Source organism: Homo sapiens, chromosome 3 (assembly GCF_000001405.40).
Source record: "Homo sapiens chromosome 3, GRCh38.p14 Primary Assembly".
NCBI lineage: Eukaryota > Metazoa > Chordata > Mammalia > Primates > Hominidae > Homo > Homo sapiens.
Genome location: NC_000003.12, coordinates 192,447,786 through 192,468,357, shown reverse-complemented (window position 1 = coordinate 192,468,357; position 20,572 = coordinate 192,447,786). Strand labels below are relative to the sequence as shown.

At 38.4% G+C, this 20,572-nt stretch overlaps 1 protein-coding gene across 4 annotated transcripts in view, besides 1 other annotated feature; it reads left to right on the top strand.

The window, feature by feature from the left end:
* Positions 1 to 20,572, top strand: part of FGF12 (fibroblast growth factor 12) — a 588,152-nt gene that overhangs the window by 259,184 nt on the left and 308,396 nt on the right. The gene's annotated exons all lie outside the window — the stretch shown is intronic.
* Positions 764 to 1,058: a silencer, noted in NCBI's record as "tiled region #7499; K562 Repressive DNase unmatched - State 12:CtcfO". NCBI's record gives its function as "represses a minimal TATA promoter and a strong SV40 promoter by Sharpr-MPRA in K562 cells {active_cell/tissue: K562}" and the evidence as "EXISTENCE:reporter gene assay evidence [ECO:0000049][PMID:27701403]".

The following is a 20,572-nucleotide window of genomic DNA, read 5'->3' as shown; positions in this document are numbered from 1 at the left end:
TTCTGAAATAACAAATGGACATCAGTGGGAAATCTGGTAAACTATGAATAAGGCCTATAGTTTAGTTACTATGGTACCAGTGTTAATTTGCTGGTTTGGATAATTGTACTGTGATTGTGTGAACTGTTAACATTAAGGGGAGCTAGATTAAGGATATACAGGAATGCTACTCATCTTTCAATTTTTCCAAAAAGATTGTCATTGAAACCATCAGACAGGAAACCCACTCTTTAGTCATAGAACTCCATGTCTCTTATGTATTCATGCAAAAGGGGGCTGTTTGAATTTCCGTGTCAGGACTTCCCCACTGTCGGGAGTGTACCATGGAAATTGGTGTCCTTGGTGAACCCTGGTCCAAGGTCCACGCCCTTTCATCCTCTGCCGAGGAGGGGAACTTTAGTAAATGCAAATAGCAAAGACATTTGAGATGTATATGGCCTGTTGTGCTCGGTGCCTGCCGCTGAAGACTTCTTTTAGAGCCTCTTCTAGATGTCAAAGCAAATGTGTTCTCTGAGACAGCTTTGCTACATGTTAAGTGTAGGACATTGACCTGGGAGTCAGAAGACCTGTCTTTAAGTTTGAGCTCTGCCATTTCCTAGCAGGGAGGCATTGGGCATTCAGTGGTTCTTCATGTGCCTAGTATTTTTATCTTTAAAACGGGCCTGAATCTTCTATTGCTAGGAATTCACAATCATGTAGTCCTCTTTTAAAAGACAAACAGAGACCTTCCTCTCTGTAAGTGTAGCTGTGTTTCTTGACATAGCATGTCAGAGGCAGCCAACCTGTGAATATTTCTTTCTTAATTATGGTAATTCCATATAACCTTCCACGTTTTCCTCTTCAGCACAGTGCTCTAGGCGTCCCGCTCACCTGTTCGGCGCACAGTCTGGCTAAAGTAGAACTCTGCTGCCATCATCTGGCCAATTCTAGGTACTGTAAGGCTGGGAAACTAACAAAAGAGTAAACAGATTCAGGAATTTACAGAATCATAGACCTCTAAGGAGGTGGGAGATCCCTCAGAATTCACCTAAGCCGATCCCTTTGTTAATAAGGAAACTGATGCCCATAGAGGGAGAGTGAACTGCCTTGTGCTACTTACTGATCAGTGGGAGAATTAGGAGCAGAACCCAGGCCCATGCAGTTGAAATTAATTTTCCGACATATATGATGATAGGAAAAAGATTCGAATACTACAAAATTTGAATAACTGAAAAAATTCTAAAACCTTTTGCACAGGGCCTCTCTAGATTCGTCTTCTTTTAAATTTACTCTATGCAGATGTTACAAACAATTAAGAAAAAACCTAAAAATTATAAATAAGAAGAGCCATTATCTATTGTTTGTATCATCTTCCAACAAAATGGATATTTTAACCCTAAAAAAAGGCAGAACATAGCTAAAAATATGTGGCGATATTATATTACTTTTTTTTCTCATTTCGCTGAGGGCTAATGCAACTTCTTTGCTGGTATAAATGTCTGTCTACAAACCACATTTGAGGGAACTAGTTATAATGAGGAGAAGCCAGGGGCTCTGGATTTTAATAACTGGGTCTGATTTCAACTCTTCCATACCCTGTGAGTGTGAAGTAATTTAACCTTGATCAGACCCCTGACCTTCTTTCTCTTGTCCCCCATTTCCTCATCTATGCTAGTGAATAGCTTCCTCACAGGAAATTTGCCAACATTAACTAAGAAAATTAAGGTAAAATTGGTGGTAACCTGCAAGCACAATAAGTATGCTTATTACTTTTTTATAATTATGGAGTAAATTGAGATGAGACAAAGAAATTTGTTAATGATATGGAGAGCTCTCAGGAACCCCTTTCGTCTTCTGCTGAGGAGGGACCCTTTGGTAAATGCAAACAGCAAATACATTTGAGAGGTATATACCTGTTGTGCTCGGTGCCAGCCACTGCATATGTGTGAATTTATTACATGTTTAATTTTGTCTCTGAGTGCGTGTGTGTGTGTTTAAGTGCTTTCCTGAGGATCTCGAAGACCACGCATACATTCTGTGATTTGCTGGAAATACTCACAGGATTTAGTAGATATCGTCATGTGAATGACATAACAGCATTACAGTCAACAAGAGACTTGCCTGTATGATGGTAATCCTATAATGTTATAATACCTTATTTTTACCGTATGTTTTCTGTGTTTAGATATGTTTAGATACACTAATACTTACTGCTGTTACAATCAGCTGTGGTGTTAAGTGCAGTAGCATGCCGTACAGGTTGGTAGCCTAGAAGCAGTAGGCTATGCCACATAGCCTAGGTATGTAGGAGGCTGCACCATCTAGGTTTGTGTACGTATGCTCCGTGGTGATCGCACAATGCTCACAGTAGCGATCGCCTGATGATGCATCTTCCAGTCATTAAGCAATGCATAAGCATAGTTGCACTATCCACTGAAGTTTATTGCAGGGAAAGGAAATATAACAGGATCAATAGGGGAAAAGATACTCAGAGACTGTAGAGATTCATGCGGAGGCTTCTGATGTTTTCTGTCTCCTCTGAGGGAGCACTGAGGGTGCTCTTTTCTTCAGCAGCAAAAAAACGCAGTAACATGTATACAATGTTTCTTCCCAGGAAGCTCATTAGAGACAGAGCATGCAAGGAAATTACCTGACTTGGGAGTGGGGGTCGGGGAGGGCGACAGTCACGTAGGCACCCTCTGCCTAGCAGCTATCAAAATTTAAGAAAAGTAGCTATTCAGCATAAATCGCATTGTTTGTATAGACAGTCTGTGCACAGCAAACCATCTTTATCAGAGAGAGAATGGAGGGAACTCTCCATCGACCAAGTTTCCAGACGCCAGCCCAGGGCCAACCTTTCAAGACAGACACTCTAGAGACAGCAGCCTCAGTTCCACTTTCTTAACTTTTTTCTGCACAGTCAAGATAATTTCTACAGATTCTGAGTGTAGGGCAAGTCTTGGGTTTATTTTTATCAATATGGTTTTAAAAATTCATGTATTCACCTTATATCCATATGTTAATTCTCAACTTTTACCTGATTGTATATTTTTAGACGGTGTTTCGGAATTTGGGATTTTTGGAAGAAATTTAAATATTTCACTGTTGCCAGGCTATTTCTTTGAAAAGTTAAGTCTTCAGTGGACTCAAACATAGAGAAGTTTTATATTGCCTTATTAACCAGCTAATTTGCATTTAACTTAAGAAAAAGTTCTGCAAGGTAAAAATTCTTCTATAAGTTTTTAACAAATAATTGGGATTTAATCTGCCCCAATTTAGATGCCAGTGAGGAATTTACATTATTATACACCCACAGAAATATCATTATATAATGTTAAATTGAAGTTGTACTGTGTTATATTAATTAAAACATACATGATCTGTAATAAGAAAGCACGGGATATTTGGGGGCCTTTTCTCATTAAAATCAGATCACAATGAGATAGGAACTTCTCCTCCACTTGATGCTTTAGCTTTGCTCATTCAGCTCTAGGGCATTTTTCTTCTTAACAGCCAGACCTCTCAGAGGTGTGTCTGCACCTACTGTCTCTATTGCCACACCTGTTTTTAACACATTCAGGCAGGCTTGCACTACCCTTCCCCAGTCCACAGGAAAAAGCTGTAATCCAGTTGTGTAAAGCAGAGCCCCTTCTCCCAAAGGAAACTTCTGCCATTCGGTCCAGCAATCCTGCTACTAGGTATCTACTCAGAGGAAAAGAAGTCATTATGTGAAAAAGAGACTTGCACATGCATGTCATTACAATTAGCAATTGCAAAAATATGGAACCAGCCCAAATGCCCATCAATCAATGAGTGCATAAAGAAAATGTCATACACACACACACACACACACACACACACACACACACACACACACACCATGGAATACTACTCAGCCCTAAAAAGGAATGAAATAATGGCATTCACAGCAACTTGGATGGAGATGGAGACCGCTATTCTAAGTGAGGTAACTCCGGAATAGAAAACCAAACATCCTATGTTCTCACTTAGAAGTGGGAACTAAGCTATGCGGATGTAAAGGCATAAGAATGAGACAGCGGACTTTGGAGGCTCAAGGGGAAGGGTGGGAGGGGGGTGAGGGATACAAGACTACCCACTGGGTACAGTATACACCGCTTGGGTGATGGGTGCACCAAATTCTCACAAAATCACCACTAAAGAACTTATCCATGTAACCAAACACCACATGTTCCCCCCAGACCTACTGAAACTAAAAACAGCAACAGCAGCAACAACAAAACTCATCCCTGGGCCCCACCCTGAGCAGTGTAATTGGAATCTCTAAGGGTGGACCCAGGCATTGTGTGTTTTAAAAACTTCTCACGTGCCTCTAATTTGTAGTCAAGAGTAGAACCACTGATCTAAGAGTAGGAGTAGAAAAAAGAGGGTAGTATGGCAAGGTTGGAGAGCTTCACCAGTGAGCCGGGTTTGGGTTGGGAACACTGGCAGGAGTCATAGTATGGACGATAATAAAGCATGTTGTTTTGCAGGTAGCTTTGTTCTTAATTTAAAAAAACAAAAACAGAAACTAACCTAAAAAAAGAACAAAACAGATGAATACCAGCTACTCTGATTTAAGTGAGTTAAGGGACTAAATCCTACCCACAAGCTCTTACTCTTCCATCATCCTTTCACATGATTCCCTGTCATGCCTAGAGCTTCTGGAAGCAGAGTTCCGAAAGCACCCATCTAGGTGCCAGCCACTGTGCTGGGCTGGGAAGGTGTCGGGTGGTTTTTGGGAATCAAAACGCACGACTGTTAAGTGCAACTGGCAGCTCATAGGATATGTGATGTTAACTTTTGGGAATGGCCAGGTAAGCTTGAAGAGTTCATCCCCAAAAGATAAAACCATAACCAGTTGATGGAAACAAGGTATGTCTTTTATTATATAATATTTTGATAATTCCTTTGAACAACGACAACAACAACTTTTTTTTTGAGACAGAGTCTCACTCTGTCACCCAGGCTGGAGTGCATTGGTGCAACCTCAGCTCACTGCAACCTCTGCCTCCCAGGTTCAAGAGATTCTCCTGCCTCAGCCTCCCAAGCAGCTGGGACTACAGGTATGTGCCACCACACCTGGCTAATTTTTTGTATTTTTAGTAGAAATGGGGTTTTGCCACGTTGTCCAGGCTGGTCTCGAACTTCTGGCCTCAAGTGATCCACCTGCCTCAGCCCCACAAAGTGCTGGGATTATAGGCATGAGCCACCGCACCCTGCCAACAACAAAATCTTCTATCACCCTAAAGTAACAACTTTGAACAGCTTGGTCTGTTCCTTTCTAATGCCTTTGATATTATTTTCCCTCCTCTATACCTGGGGATTTATTATAACTACAGTTTTCCAGCTTGCTCTTTTCACTTGACACAATAGCATGAGCATGGTTTCATATCCCCACAAACTCTTCGTACATCATATTTTTAATATCCCTGAAAGCTTTTCGTAAGCCATTACAGTTGTGTAGCTTCTACAGAGTGCTTCTCTTATATGGCTGCATATTTAAATTTCTTACATTATAAATCAGTTATTTGTATAATTAATATATATCATTATCATATGAAACTTTATACATAAAGTCCTTTTTAAAATGTATTAAGTCTACTGTAGGCTTTTAAATCAAAAGTTAGGGGCATTTGTACCTAATGTCCTCTCAGTGAACTGTCATATTAAAGAACCTTGGTAATGCCTTCTTAACTATCTGAGAGTTCTTAACTTGCCAATAACTCTGTGTCAGTCTATTTTCTGTTGTTTATAACAGAATACCTAAAACCAGGTAATTTATAAAGAAAATAAATTTATTTCTTACACTTATGGAGATTGAGAAGTCCAAAATTGAGGGGGCATATTTGCTGAGGACCTTCTTGCTGGTAGGGACTCTCTACAGAGTCTTGAGGTGGCAAAGGGTATCACATGGCCAGGGGGCTGAGCATCCTGCCATACTAACTCAGATCTCTCTTCCTCTTCATGTAGAGCCACCAGTTCCTTCCCATGATAACCCATTAAATGCATGAATGGATTAATCCATTCATGAGTCAGAGCCCTCAAGACCCACTCACCATTTAAAGACCTCACCTCTCAATACTGCCACATTGAAGATTAAGTTTCAACATGAGTTTTGGAGGGTATACTCAAACCATAATAATCTCCGTCCAGAAGAATTTATACTCCCACTGTTTTATTGACATTAGAAATTCTTAATAGTTTCAGTGTTTGTTAATTTTATTATTTTAATATACATTTCTTTATTACTAGTGAGTTTTAAAAACATGTTTTAAATTTCAAAATGAAACAAGCCATATATTTTATTTGATTCATTTTCTTATCATCCAATAATCATTAAGTAATAATGTGTGTTTTTTTTTTTCTTGTGACAGAGTTTCGCTCTTGTTGCCCAGGCTGGAGTGCCGTGGTGCGATCTCAGCTCACTGCAACCTCCACCTCCCGGGTTCAAGCGATTCTCCTGCCTCAGCCTCCCGAGTAGCTGGAATTACAGGCACGCACCACCATGCCTGGCTAATTTTTTGTATTTTTAGTAGAGACGGGGTTTCAACATGTTGGCCAGACTGGTCTCAAACTCCTGACCTCAGATGATCCCCCTGCCTTGGCCTCACAAAGTGCTGGGATTACAGGTATGAGCCACCGTGCCTGGCCAAGTAATAATGATTTTTAAAAAACATCTTCCCCACACTTCTGCTTACACACATACTTCTGTTTAGGGTCAGATAACTGAAAAGTGAATTCAGTTATAATCTCAGTTATATAGCTTGTAGGAATGAGAACATAAAATTTCTTTAAATTAAGAAATAAAAACCACATCAGATAAAAATACTGATTAGGATTTGATAGATACTAGTTTATAATTTACCTTATAAATATGATGGAATTCCAGTCACTATTAATCCTTCACAGGAATTTTGTACTCTTCTCTTACTTTAGGGTATTTAACCTAATTTGGGTATGTTCTATAGTGCTCACCATTTTTGATATCACAGTGCCAATATTTTCAATTGTCATTATAAATTAGGCAAATGTGTTCCATGAAGATTCTGTTTAACTTTCTTTTTGATGATCTCAAGCCTGAATGTTTTGAGCTGGAGGTGTGCATGTGGATCATTTTTTTGGCATGTCTTTAAGCATGTTCCTCCCAGTGTAATTCAAGGTATATTTGTTATTCAAAAATAAATGTTTTACAATGTTCATTTACAAAAATCCCATTGTTAAATGATTGCATTTTCTGAATAAGCTTCAGCCTGTGAAAAAATGTGTCCTGTATGTTATATAGGTTATCACATTGAGTAAACATTACTTGAAACAGATCATGGATTATAGATTTTAAAACTGGCCCCCATATCACTTAGCACAAACTGTGAGCCATACCACATGCTTAATGAATATATGTACTCTGGATAAAAAAGAAAGGTGCAAACACTTAGCAGTACCGTATGGCAGGAAATACATAGGAATTAAAAATGCTTAACTTTTTGCTCCAGTTCAGTTAAAGTGATTGTGAGAAATTCATTTTAACTCTCTAAGCCCCATGATTCTTGCCCTAACCAGCTTAGAGTGCTCTTGAAAGTAGCAAATTAAATAATATATAAGAAAAAAGTTTCCAACTGTAAGGCACTATCTAAATGCAAGTAAATGCAAAGTGGATATATATATATATATATATATAAATATATGTGTGTGTGTGTGTATATGTATATATTTGTTGTTGCTGTTGTTGTTTGTTTTTGTTTTGTAAAGGGGTGAGTGTGGAGCTACAGAGGGGAGATTCGGAAAGCGTCTGTAGCCTGTGCTTGCTGGTTGCAGAGCACGTGTACTCTGCTTGCGGGTTTAAAGGCACTTATGTGACATTTGTTTCAGAGTTGATTCTCAGAGACCTGATACATGAGCCTTATATTCCACTGTTTTTCAGTGGACATCCTGAACTTCGCTGCCATTCCTCTAGCTCCGCTCTGAGGCTGTGGGCAAAGCTCAGACAGAGAACTCAGGCAGGTTTCTGAATTTAGAAAAAACTCCCTCTTCCTACCCGAACTTAAGCATGAGTAGGAATAAAATTTGTGTGATCCAAGTGGTTAGTTCAGCTGAGTCTTTTGGAAAAGGAAGAAGTTCAGGCAAGGAAGAAAAGGTTGGAGCATGCTTTACATTTTCTTTGCCTATTATGACTGAGATCTTGTGCTTGTCTTTCTCATTAGGTCCCTAACAGTCAACAGAGTGTTCCCTAACTCCCCCCTCCCACAAGGTAGAGTTGGTTACCTTTCTTCTCACCCACCAACTCTTCTTTGTAAGTATTTGCATTATCCCCATATCGTAAATGTACTTATGTCTGTTCATCCTGCATGACTCGAAGACTAGATTGATCTAGATCATCTTTGTAGCTTAAAAGTCTAACATGTCTCTCAGTACATGAAAGGTACTCAATGAGGGTTTTTTGAAGGATGTTGAATCACCTTCTGTCTCCTTCTCTCCCTCTCACACACACACGCACACACACAAACACACACACACACACACACTAAACATACATGCAGGAAAGATTTCTTTTCAGATTATTAAGAATTTTTCTTAAAAGGTTGTACAAGTATAAGCAATGCCATATTTTAACCAGTCAGATTAAAGCACATACATCTTCAAAACTATTTTATTTTTCCTTCTGGAAACCATGCAACCATTCTAAATTTGATTCTATTATTAATCCACTTTAATATTTGAATCAATGTATGCAATGTGCCCAAAGACAAGGCTCATGCAGAATGATGCCTTGTTTTTGAAGACAAAAAAGATTAAAATGTCTGGTTCCCATGGGAATGTAGCCATAGACATGGAAGCAATCAAATAAGATTCACAGTTTTGTAATGTTGTTACTGCACAGCATTTTCCAAATCCTTTCATTTTGAATGTAGCATCATAACAAATGCGAGTTAAACAATTTAAGTTGACCAACTTATGTCTCCTAAATACCAGGCAATTCTTTTGAAATGAAAGAGAATCAGATGTAGGAAATGCCAAATTTTGTTGCCGTTTTATTTAGCATTCACAACAAGAATTGAAGCTCAATTTTTAGATCTGATGAGAAGTTTGCTAACTTAACTAAGTTGGTGAAATCGAGCAACTCCAGTATTTGATAATTTAATTCTGAATTGCTATGGAATTCTAGGAATTATGTTACAAAAATAGACAAGATGAAGTCTCTGCATGTATTAGCCTGTTTTCACATTGCTGATAAAGACATACTCTAGACTGGGAAGAAAAAGAGGTTTAATTGGACTCACAGTTACACATAGCTGGGGAGGCCTCAGAATCATGGTGGGAGGTGAAAGGCACTTCTTACATGGTGGTGGCAAGAGAAAATGAGGAAGAGGCAAAAGCAGAAACCCCTGATAAACCCATTAGATCTCGTTAGACTTATTCACTACTGCAAGAACAGCATAGGAGAAACTGCCCCATGATTCAAATTATCTCCCACTGGATCCCTCCCACAACACGTGGGAATTGTGGGGATACAATTCAAGATGAGATTTGGGTGGGGACACAGCGAAACCATATCATTCCACCCCTGGCCCCTCCAAATCTCATGTCCTCAAATTTTAAAACCAATTGTGCCTTCCCAACAGTCCCTCAAAGTCTTAACTCATTTCAGCATTAACCCAAAAGTCCACAGTCCAAAGTCTTATCTGAGACAAGGCAAATCCCTTCTGCCTATGAGCCTGTAAAATCAAAAGCAAGCTAGTTCCTTCCTAGATACAGTGGGGGTACAGTTATTGGGTAAATACAGCCATTCCAAATGGGAAAAATTGGCTAAAACAAAGGGGTTACAGGCTCCATTCAAGTCCAAAAACCTGTGAGGCAGGCAAATTTTAAAGTTCCAAATTGATTTCCTTTGACTCCAGGTCTCACATCCAGGTCACACTGATGCAAGAGGTGGGTTTCCATGGTCTTGGGCAGCTCTGCCCCTGTGACTTTGCAGGGTACAGTCCCCTTCCTGGCTGCTTTCATGGGCTGGCATTGAGTGTCTGCAGCTTTTCCAGGCACACAGTGCAAGCTGTCGGTAGATCTGCCATTCTGGGGTCTGGAGTAGGGTGGCCCTCTTCTCACAGCTCTACTAGGCAGTGCCCCAGTAGGGACTCTGTGTGGGGACTCCGACCCCACATTTCCCTTCTGCACTTCCCAAGCAGAGGTTCTTCATGAGGGCCCCACCTCTGCAGCAAACTTTCGCCTGGGCATCCAGGCGTTTCCATACATCTTCTGAAATCTAGACAGAGATTCCCAAACCTCAGTTCTTGACTTCTGTGCACCTGCAGGCTCAACACCACATGGAAGCTGCCAAGGCTTGGGGATTCCACCCTCTGAAGCCACAGCCCAAGCTTTATGTTGGCCACTTTTAGCCACAGTTGGAGTGGCTGCGACAGAGGGCACCAAGTCTCTAGCTGCACACAGCACAGGGACCCTGGGCCCAGCCCACAAAACCACTTTTTTCTCCTTGGCCTCCAGGCCTGTGATGAGAGGGGCTGCAGTGAAGATCTGTGACGTGGCCTGGAGACATTTTCCCCATGGTCTTGGGGATTAACATTAGGCTCCTTGCTACTTATTCAAATTTCTGCAGCCAGCTTGAATTTCTCCTCAAAAATGGGTATTTATTTTCTATTGCATCGTCAGCTGCAAATTTTCTGACTTTTATGCTGTTTCCCTTTTAAAACGAAATGCTTTTAACAGTGCCCAAGTCACCTTTTGAACGCTTTTGCTGTTTAAAAATTTCTTCCGCCAGATACCTAAATCATCTCTCTCAAGTTCAAAGTTCCACAAATTTCTAGGATGGGGGCAAAATGCCACCAGTCTCTTTGCTAAAATGTAGCAAGAGTCACCTTTGTTCCAGTTCCCAACAAGTTCCTCATCTCCATCTGAGACCATCTCAGCCTGGACCTTATTGTTCATATCACTATCAGCATTGTAGTCAAAACCATTCAACAAGTCTCTAGGAGGTTCCAAACTTTTCCACATTTTCCTGTCTTCTTCTGAACCCTACAAAGTGTTCCAGCCTCTGCCTGTTACCCAGTTCCAAAGTCACTTCCACATTTTGGGTATCTTTTCAGCAACACCCCACTCTACTGGTACCAATTTACTGTATTAGCACATTTTCACACTGCTGATAAAGACATAGCTGAGACTGGGAAGTAAAAGAGGTTTAGTTGGACTTACAGTTCTACATGGCTGGGGAGGCCTCAGAATCATGGTGGGAGGTGAAAGGTACTTCTTACATGCCAGTGGCAAGAGAAAATGGGGAAGATGCAAAAGCGGAAACCCCTGATAAAACCAACAGATCTCATGAGACTTATTCCCTACCACGGGAACAGTATGGGGGAAACTGCCCCCATGATTCAAATTATTTCCCACTGGGTCCCTCCCACAACACATGGGAATTATGGGAGTATAATTCAAGATGAGATTTGGGTAGGGACACAGCCAAACCATATCACTGCATGTGTGGATTTATGTTATAATCTAGAAGAGAGTGCCTAGCTTTTGAGTGTATAGGAATCATACATTCTCATAGTACTACCTCTATTCACTGCAGTATGGTTGAACTGAGTCTCCAAGATATTTACTAAACATCTATATAGCTAAACCCTGCAGGGTGTAATTCTTACCTTGCAGTCCTTATCTGCAAAGAGTTCATACATAAAATGTTCTAGGTGGTGGTATTTAAGTCATTTCATTTTTTTAACTTTTAAATTATTTTTAAAAATTTTTGTGGATACGTATTAGGAGTATACATTTATGGGGTAAATGAGATTTTAAAATAACTTAAAGAATCAAATTAGATCATTTCACTTATTTTAAAAATGTATTCATCAATTTTTTTCTACAATAAGCCTGTATCACATTTATAATAAAAAAGATTAATCTTTGGAAAGTATTTTTAATGAGGTATTCAAAACTATCTAATTGCAATGAAACTCCATTCTCTAGCCTGCTTGACAGCAGGCTTTGGGCTAAGATATCTCTAAGTCTCAGATGACCTCTGCCTCTTAATTCCAAGTTTGGTCAGTGGCATAACAAATTTGGTTTTCCAGTTTCTTTTATACATAATCCTGAAAGTAGAAAGAAATTTTTGATAACTGTGTAGGTCTAAAACATAACAATACATTTCGAATTTTAGAGCATAATTACATTTCAAATATTTTCTCTTGTATTCTTCATAAATTGTGAAAATGTAATAGACATTACCATGTTTTTATCATCTCTCATATTTTGTCATATACCCAGAATAGTGATACCTAATGTATCAATCATCTTTTCAGAGTTTAGGTAATGTGAGTCAGGTTGAGTTGATAACATATTATGGACCCAAAAGACCAGTTACTGGCTTTAGGGGACCACCTCTGCAAGGCCCCACTTATTAACCACTTTGCTTCTGTCTTGAGCATCCCATGAACTGTGTGAAGTATGTTTTCATCTTTATGATTTTTAATGCATGTATGTGGAATTGTGTTTGAGGGACCAATGGAACTGTTGACATTTGGTATCATGGAGGCGTGTGGTTATTCTGAACATATTCTCAGTTACATCTACTAATATTCTGCAGAAAATCTTAGAATTATTTATGATAGAAACTTAAAGCCATCTAAATATGCAGAAGCATGGTAAAGACTAAGTGCATTAGAGCAAATCATTGGAATATTATTCAGTTATTGATAATGTTATAAAAAGTTTATAACAACACGTATGTTTATATTTAGCATATAATGTTAAATAAAAAAGTTATAAAATGTTATCATTGCATCTAATCCCATAAACACAATAAACTGTGTAGAGATTAAAGAGATCCTGTGTGCAGAAGGGGCCAGCCCTGACCATCTCTCTGTCTAAATATATGATGTTATCATTTCTATTCTGCTGTAGGTACACCATGTTGATGCAGAGTTTCCTTGCAACTATTTCTCTTCCCAGAATTCCACATAAGATTTGGGTCCAAAGGCTTCTGTACTCTCAGTTTCTTCCTGATCAAGAGTTTCAATCTTCTTGTCATCACCCCATCTGAGTTGAGAACTAGAGTGACAGAGTCATCAGAAACCTAAGAGGCTCAGAGAGCTTTTGATCCTCTTCTTGTCCCCTCTCCGAAACAGTATTTCTCCTCCAAAGAGTTTCTATGTCTGCATTTTATGTGGTGGAAACTTTCTGTACATCATATTATTCTTCTTTCCAACTCTATAGGCTTTTAATTTTAGGAAGTAATTGCCCACTCTTTTCCAAGCAATAAGTCTTATGGCTTAGCTTTGATGTTAGAAGTTCAGTAAAAGTAAATTTCTCACCAGTAAGAGAAAATACATTGAGAATTGGGGGAGTTTTTTAAAAAAGTATTCTCCCCATTTGAAATTAATAATTAAAATAATTATTAGAGAAAGTGGAAATATTGTAAAAACTGAGATGTCCAAGCCCACAGACATCCAGAATAGATGTTGAGCCTTGTAATGTCCGTCTTATTGTTGAGCTCACAATTGATTGTCTGGTTATGTACCAGACATCTTCTGAATGTGTCACCTGGCCTGTTCTCTAGTGTGACACCTTTTTCTCCTCAGATCTGTAGTAATTAACAATCAGTATCATTTTAAATTTTTGGTGAAATTATCGCTAATGGTTTTGTGTCCTTTGTCATTTTCTAAAACTTTCTTTGCCGTGTGAAAAGGGCTGGAACTATGTAGTCTGAGAAGTATGCCTTTGACACCTTGCTGTGTTTCTCTCCTTGCACCATGTTTATCAGACTACAAGGTTTAAGCCCTTTTTAGGTTTATGAAGTAAGCCTTTTATTCCTGAATTTTTTTTTCTCCTTGTACTTTTCAATTATTTTTCCTTATTTTAGAAGTATCTCTCTTTTTGAGTGCATAACATTTCTAGACTGTATTTGTACCAGACACTCCCCATGTTCATTTTATTCTGCTGACGAAACAGGAAAATCTTTGTGTTTTTGATAAGGACTGTGGAAATAGAACATGCAGGCCTTTCTTGTTAAGAGAGATGTAGGCTGGCGCAGTGGCTCATGCCTGAAATCCCAGCACTTTGGGAGGCCGAGGTGGGTGGATCACGAGGTCAGGAGATTGAGACCATTCTGGCTAACACGGTGAGACCCCATCTCTACTAAAATACAAAAAAATTAACCAGGCATGGTGGCACGCACCTATAGTCCCAGCTACTCAGGAGGCTGAGGCAGGAGAATCGCTTGAACCTGGGAGGTGGAGGCTGCAGTGAGCCAAGATTGCGTCACTGCACTGCAGCCTGGGCGACAGAGCTAGACTCCATCTCAAAAAACAAAACAAAAAAAAAAGGAGAGAAATGTAGATATACATCTTTAACTTTTTGCCAAATTTTGATTAGAAAGGAAATAATAGACCAAAAGTATTGCATGGAGAGAAAGAAATATCTTTGGTCCTAAATATGTATTATTTACATAGATATTATACTTATTAAAAATACTTCAAGTTTATAGAGAAATAAAGTTTAAACCCAGATTAGTTAAATTTGATTTAAACAAATGGATTTTGCTAACTAACTGATCAAGGCAAAGATCAATATGAGCGTGAAATTGGGAGACTAATCCCATGGGTCTTCATGCTAGGAGAGCTGAGCCCAAGCCAAGCAAGAGACATCCCCTCATCCCCCAATAAAACAAGCAAAAGTGATCACAGATCAGTACTAAATCCTGACAAAAAAAATGCAAATATTCTCTGAAGGAAAGCAAACATAGTTAATCATTTTCTAATAATACCTTAAAGAATTAAAGTGTTTTTACTTCCATTTTGGAATTCAGTTCCCTAGGAGACAAATAGATCCTCAGAATGTAAAGATATTAGATAGAATCAGATATGACCTTGAAGTTAAATGTGACCAAACTCTCCAAATTTTTTTTTTAAAAAGGGGGGGGCATTCTTAATGACCCTTCAAGAACCAAGAACTTCATATATTAGAATGGTCAGTTTCAGAATAATACAGAGCTATGTATAAAATATTTTAAAAGTAAAATTTATAAGTTTAGATATAGAAGGAACAAAAGATTTTCAAATGTGATCAAATTAGTTTCCCAAAAGAATCAAATACAACTTTTAAAAGTGAAAGATATAATTGAAATTAAAAACCCAATAGATGGTTTGGAAGTATATCAGACACAGCTAAAAGAAAGAATAAATGAAAAGGGAGACATATATGAAGTGATTACCCAGGTCATAATAATGCAGAGAAGGAAGGTAGAAAATATGAAAGAAAAGTTAACTGATATGGAGGACACAATAAATATCTAAGCTAGATCCAACTGGAGTCCCAGAACGAAAGGACAAAGGCAGTTGAGAAAACAAGTAACTGAAAATTGTCTGGAATTATGGAAAGATACGCATCATAGATACACAAAGAAACAGGCACATTAGGTAGGTTAATAAAAAATATGCATGTATATACAATAAAATATTTGAATGTCAAAGAAAGTATAGTGAAGTTTTAGAACACCAAAGAAAAAGAGATCTTAGGAGCAGCTAGAGAGAAAAGACTGATCATCTGCAAGGGAACAATAATTAGGTAAAGAGAAGACTTCTAAAAAATGGAAGCTGAAAGACCGGAGCAATACTGTCCACATTTTGACACAATCACGGACAAGGATGCTGAGTGGAGCCACATAGGCTGTGCACTGAACAACTCCAGAGGGGTGTGATTCACATAGGATTTAGTTTGTGTAGTGTTCCCTGGAGTTGGCCAATGCAGCATAAAATAGAATTTTGAACTCAACAAAATTATCTTTCAAATATGACCTGTAATTTTTCAGGAAGTAGAAGAGGAAGCAATTTCAGCCTCATATCATGAGACCAATAGAACCCTGTTACTAAAACTTGACAAAAATACTTAAGAAAATTAGTAGAGACTATAGCACGTAACACAGAGCCACAAAAAATCCATAATAAAACACTGACAAATCAAATCCATTAATGTATCAAAAGGAGAATAAATTATGGCTAAGTGGAGTTTGTCCTTAGAAAAGAAGTTTGGTTTATCATTAAAAACTCACCAATCTATGCAATTCAGCATATTAACAGAATAAAGGTTAAAATTCACATGGTCAACTCAACAAATACAGAATAAAAACATTTAACAAAATTAAACACCCATTCACAAAAAAATCTCCTAGCAACTGAGAAATATAAGGATCTTTCTCAATTTGATAGAAAATATGTACCAAAAAAACCTATAGCTTACCTCAAAGTGAATGGTTAAATATCGATGCTTTTCTGCTATAATTGGGAATACGGCAAAGATATCCATTTTCATTACTTCTATTCAATATTGCACTGGCGATCCTTACCAAAGCAAACAGGCAAGGAAAAGAAAAAAAAATCTATTAATGCTGAAAATGTGAATACTCCATAATTATCTATTCTACTTTAAGGCAAACATTCTAGCTAAAACTCTTTACGCATCACCAGGAGACACATGTAAGAATGTTTATAGCAGCAATGTTTAGCCTAGCACCAGTCTTTACCCAGGTTCCGTCAGTAGCGGAATGCATAAATAAATTTTAGCAAATTCACACAATGGGCTATTATACAGCCATGAAATAAATTAACTACAGCTATGCATTACTACATAGGTGAATCTTAGAAACAAATTGTTAAGAAGAAAACTGTTAAGTGCAAAATCCTAAATATATGTGATATTTACCAGGTCTTGACATATTCATTGTGTCTGGGACTTTTAGTAGTTTTTTAACTTTAGTGATCTCCTAAACCCTCAACATGACTTATCTTTAGTCCATTAAATACCTAAGGGTCTACTAATCATCACAAACTTATCTTTTAATATGGCAACCTCCTGCTCAATAGTCATAATGACATCAAATAAGTTCCTGGTACAGTAGGCTGGTTTCAGTTCTCATGGTTTGGCCATAGCAAGCCTTTTACAATTTTCCTGTTGTCAAGAACAATGTATTTTATGCTGTCAGACTGGTAATTCTCACAGTTCTCCCATTCTTTCAGCTGTCTTTAAATCTTGTCTCTTGATACTTACAATGGCATAGAACAAAGAGAGTGTTGGAAAGTCAGGAGACTTGGATTCTACTCCTGATCATTCTTTATACCTACTGAGTTAACCTGAGAAATTGTTATGAAGTGATAAATATCTATCATTGGGCACTGTCAATGCAGAAACCATTGTGTTTACACTTTGGGTAAAAATCATATCAATAAAGTAATTCTTGTCCCAGAGTAACTTACAGCTCCAAGAGACCAAGGAAGATACATATGTAGTCACCATACAAAGTAGAGCACAGATCATGATAAGAGAAGCACAGATCATTCTATGAGGCTTCCAGTGTTGGAGAAATCACTTTTCATTTTGTTAGTGGAGACTAGCCAAAGCTTCATGACTGAGGTGATATTGGAAATGAGTGTCACACAAAGGTGCTGAGGTGTGTTGAACATATACAGGAAGCTGTAACCAATGGAAATGCTTTGGAAAAGGGTTCTGGCAACTGAAATAAGTATAGGATTGACACATAGTTTGGTATTTTCCACTCTATTTTAAATTTGACAATTAGATACGGAGGCTAAATGATCTCTTCACTATCAGAAATTGATCAAAGATGGTGGCCAGATTGGTACTGTGGATTCTTAATCCATGAAACTGTTACATTTTTATTCAGATTCTAATATTAGGTGCCAACTTCTCTTTCTATACTAAGTGAATGACTCTTGATGATTATAAAGAGTAAAGCATCTTTTTGTTCAGTTTTGTTTATTTGGATGAATCATAACATGAATGCCTGATAACACTGTGGTCATTGTAATTGTATAGTTTATTTCATCAAAAGTTAGGATGTTAATCTACTCAGTATCCTGTGTTGAGTTTTATTTGGTATCCTATGTTCGGTTCTATCTATGTTTAGTATTACTGGTGGCTTCCCAAATTTGCTACATGATTAAAATTGGATATATTGTCAGTCTCCACTTTTTGCTCCTTAAAAGGATCTGCAGACCTATTTCTGTGTAATGGGTAGTCCTGGTTTGGTACATAGTATGATATGATGCTTTTGTCTTTGAGTCTCTAAGAAAATGAGTTGGAAGGAGATTGCTATAAAATGACACTGAGGTTATTTTATTATATTAGGTGTTTCTTCCCTTCTTCTCCAGTAGTTTTTATTCCTGGAAAGGGTATCTTGGTGCAGTGGGAAAAATGGGATTTTTAGATTTAGAAGGTCTTGGTTTTGGTCTTGGCTTTGTCTCTGCTACTCTTGGATTTCATCATCTTGAAAGATGGTGTATCAATTGTGGTCAACTCAGGAGACAGAAACCTCACAGTAATTTGAAAAGTGAGAGTTTAATATAAGAATTATTCATTGTAATGTGGATTGAAGTAACAGAAAATTGGCTAGTAAGAAGTACAAAGAATTCTATAGGATGCAGCAATAGTATATATAAATATCAGCTGCTGTCATAAGGCTGAGATACAGTGTCAAGGAGGAGCCCTCTAACCCCACCTCAGGCTGAGATCCAGACTCCCTTGGAGAGGGCATGCCCATGGCTGATTATGAATTATTGAAAAGTCATCAAAGTGCCTCACTTCTGAGACTTGCTGGAAACCTGCCTTCTGGGGTACAGAAAAGCAATCCATAGGGAGGTGTTGCCCTCAAGCCTTGCTGCAGAGTTGCCAGAGTCAGTGCTGGGTGCAACCGTTTTCTGCTGGGCACTGTTGGTCACCAGATGCTACAAGAACCAAGGGATAGAGAAGCCTTCGTCTGTAGGAATGGGGCGTTGGAGAAACTGCATTCTAGAGGGGTCCAATGCTTAAGAATGCATAAGCCCTGCAGGAAGTGAGCCCTGGCAGGTGCACAGGAGCTTACCCGACAGCAGGGTGCTGTGGAACCTGGGATGCATGGTGTCCACATTGGGAGATCCATGGCAAGATGATCACTGAGCTGAAACTGGGGACGCAAGCTTACCAAGGGGCTTCACATTCTGGGTCTGTGAGCACCACAATTTGTGAGTATTCCCCTCACAAATTAGCTGCTGACGGCCATCCAAAACAAATAACAAGAAAATCAATATAGAAGTAAACTGGAAGCAGGGAGAGAAACCACTTCCTCCAGCACCCTCTAGTGACAAAGCTTAATATTGTGTTTGCTGCAAAGAACAGAGACTTAAAGGGTTCAAGGCCATTGTTGCCAAGTAGGTAATGAAGGATGGATTTGAACTGAGACACAATAAATTGATAACTTGCATAGAGGAAGGGACAGATCCCCGCAGGTATCGGAAGGACTGAATGAGATTTGATTTTAAAAGCCTTTGTGTACACTAAAACAGAATACAAAAATATACTGTTGCTATAGTTATGATTCACTGTAATTAAACATGATACTGACATAAATGTACAGTGCCAGAGTTGGATCAGACTGATTCTGCTGCAGCAAGTCTGCTGTTCTTGTTTTTAGGGAATTTATTTTAAGATTATATTTGGGAAATATTGCACCTGAATTTAAACTTATTTGGGTCTTCTAAGCTAAACTGTATGGCATATTGGTGGCCATTCATCAGTATAAAAAATAATATTTATTGAAATCTAATGATATGCCAGAATACATTTACTCATGCTGATATTTATATTACTGGCCCTGTTTTTAAAATGAGGAGCTGAGGTAAAGTAGTTTTCTAAGACCATACAGAAGGAAATAATCCAGGAATCAGTTCCAGGTTTTTCAGATTCTACAACCTGTGCCTCTAACTTAGAATTGAAGCATAGTATCACTCAAGCCTAGTATACTGTCAAAGTGCCGTCACTTGGGCAAAATGCATATTTGCTTTGGACCTTTCATGTCTCTGTCCTGCTTACAGTTCTGGTATATTGTTACCCCTCCCTCCCAATTTTCAGGGGGATGTTTTTCTTTTATATTTAGTTGCTTTTCAATAACTCACACATTTGACACTAGGAGTAAATAATAGATAAGCAGAAATTGATTTAGAGTTGGTTGTCTAGCTCTAACATCAGAAAATGAATTTTTTGCAGAGTGCAGAACAACTAAGGCATGTTCAAAAGAAAACAGTTTTCCACATCCTTGGTAGATTTCTGCAGCTCATTTCATTAAGAGGTGTTTTATGCTAACAGTATGACTAGACTGAAGCATGGCTAATAACAGGAACTGAATTTAATAGCTGCAAGGTAGAAATAACCCAAGTGTCCTTCCGTGGCTTGGATGGAGTGTAGTACATATAAATGTGTGCTTATATGTGTATGTGTATACACACATATATATATGAAAATACTTTGAAGAAATGAAAATGAATAAACTACTTATACAAAAGCTTGGATGAATTTCAAAGACATAACATTGGGCGAAAGAAGTCAGGCAAAAAGGGCTGTGAAGTTCAGAAACTGGCGAAACGAATTTATGGTGCTAAAAGTCAGAATGATAATTACCTTTGGGGGTATTGCCTGAGAAGGGACATATAGGAGACTTTGGGATGCTGCTGTGTCAAATACTTGATCTGCGTGGTAGCTATGTAAGAGTAGACATTTGTCAGTTTCATAGAGAAAAGATTTGTGT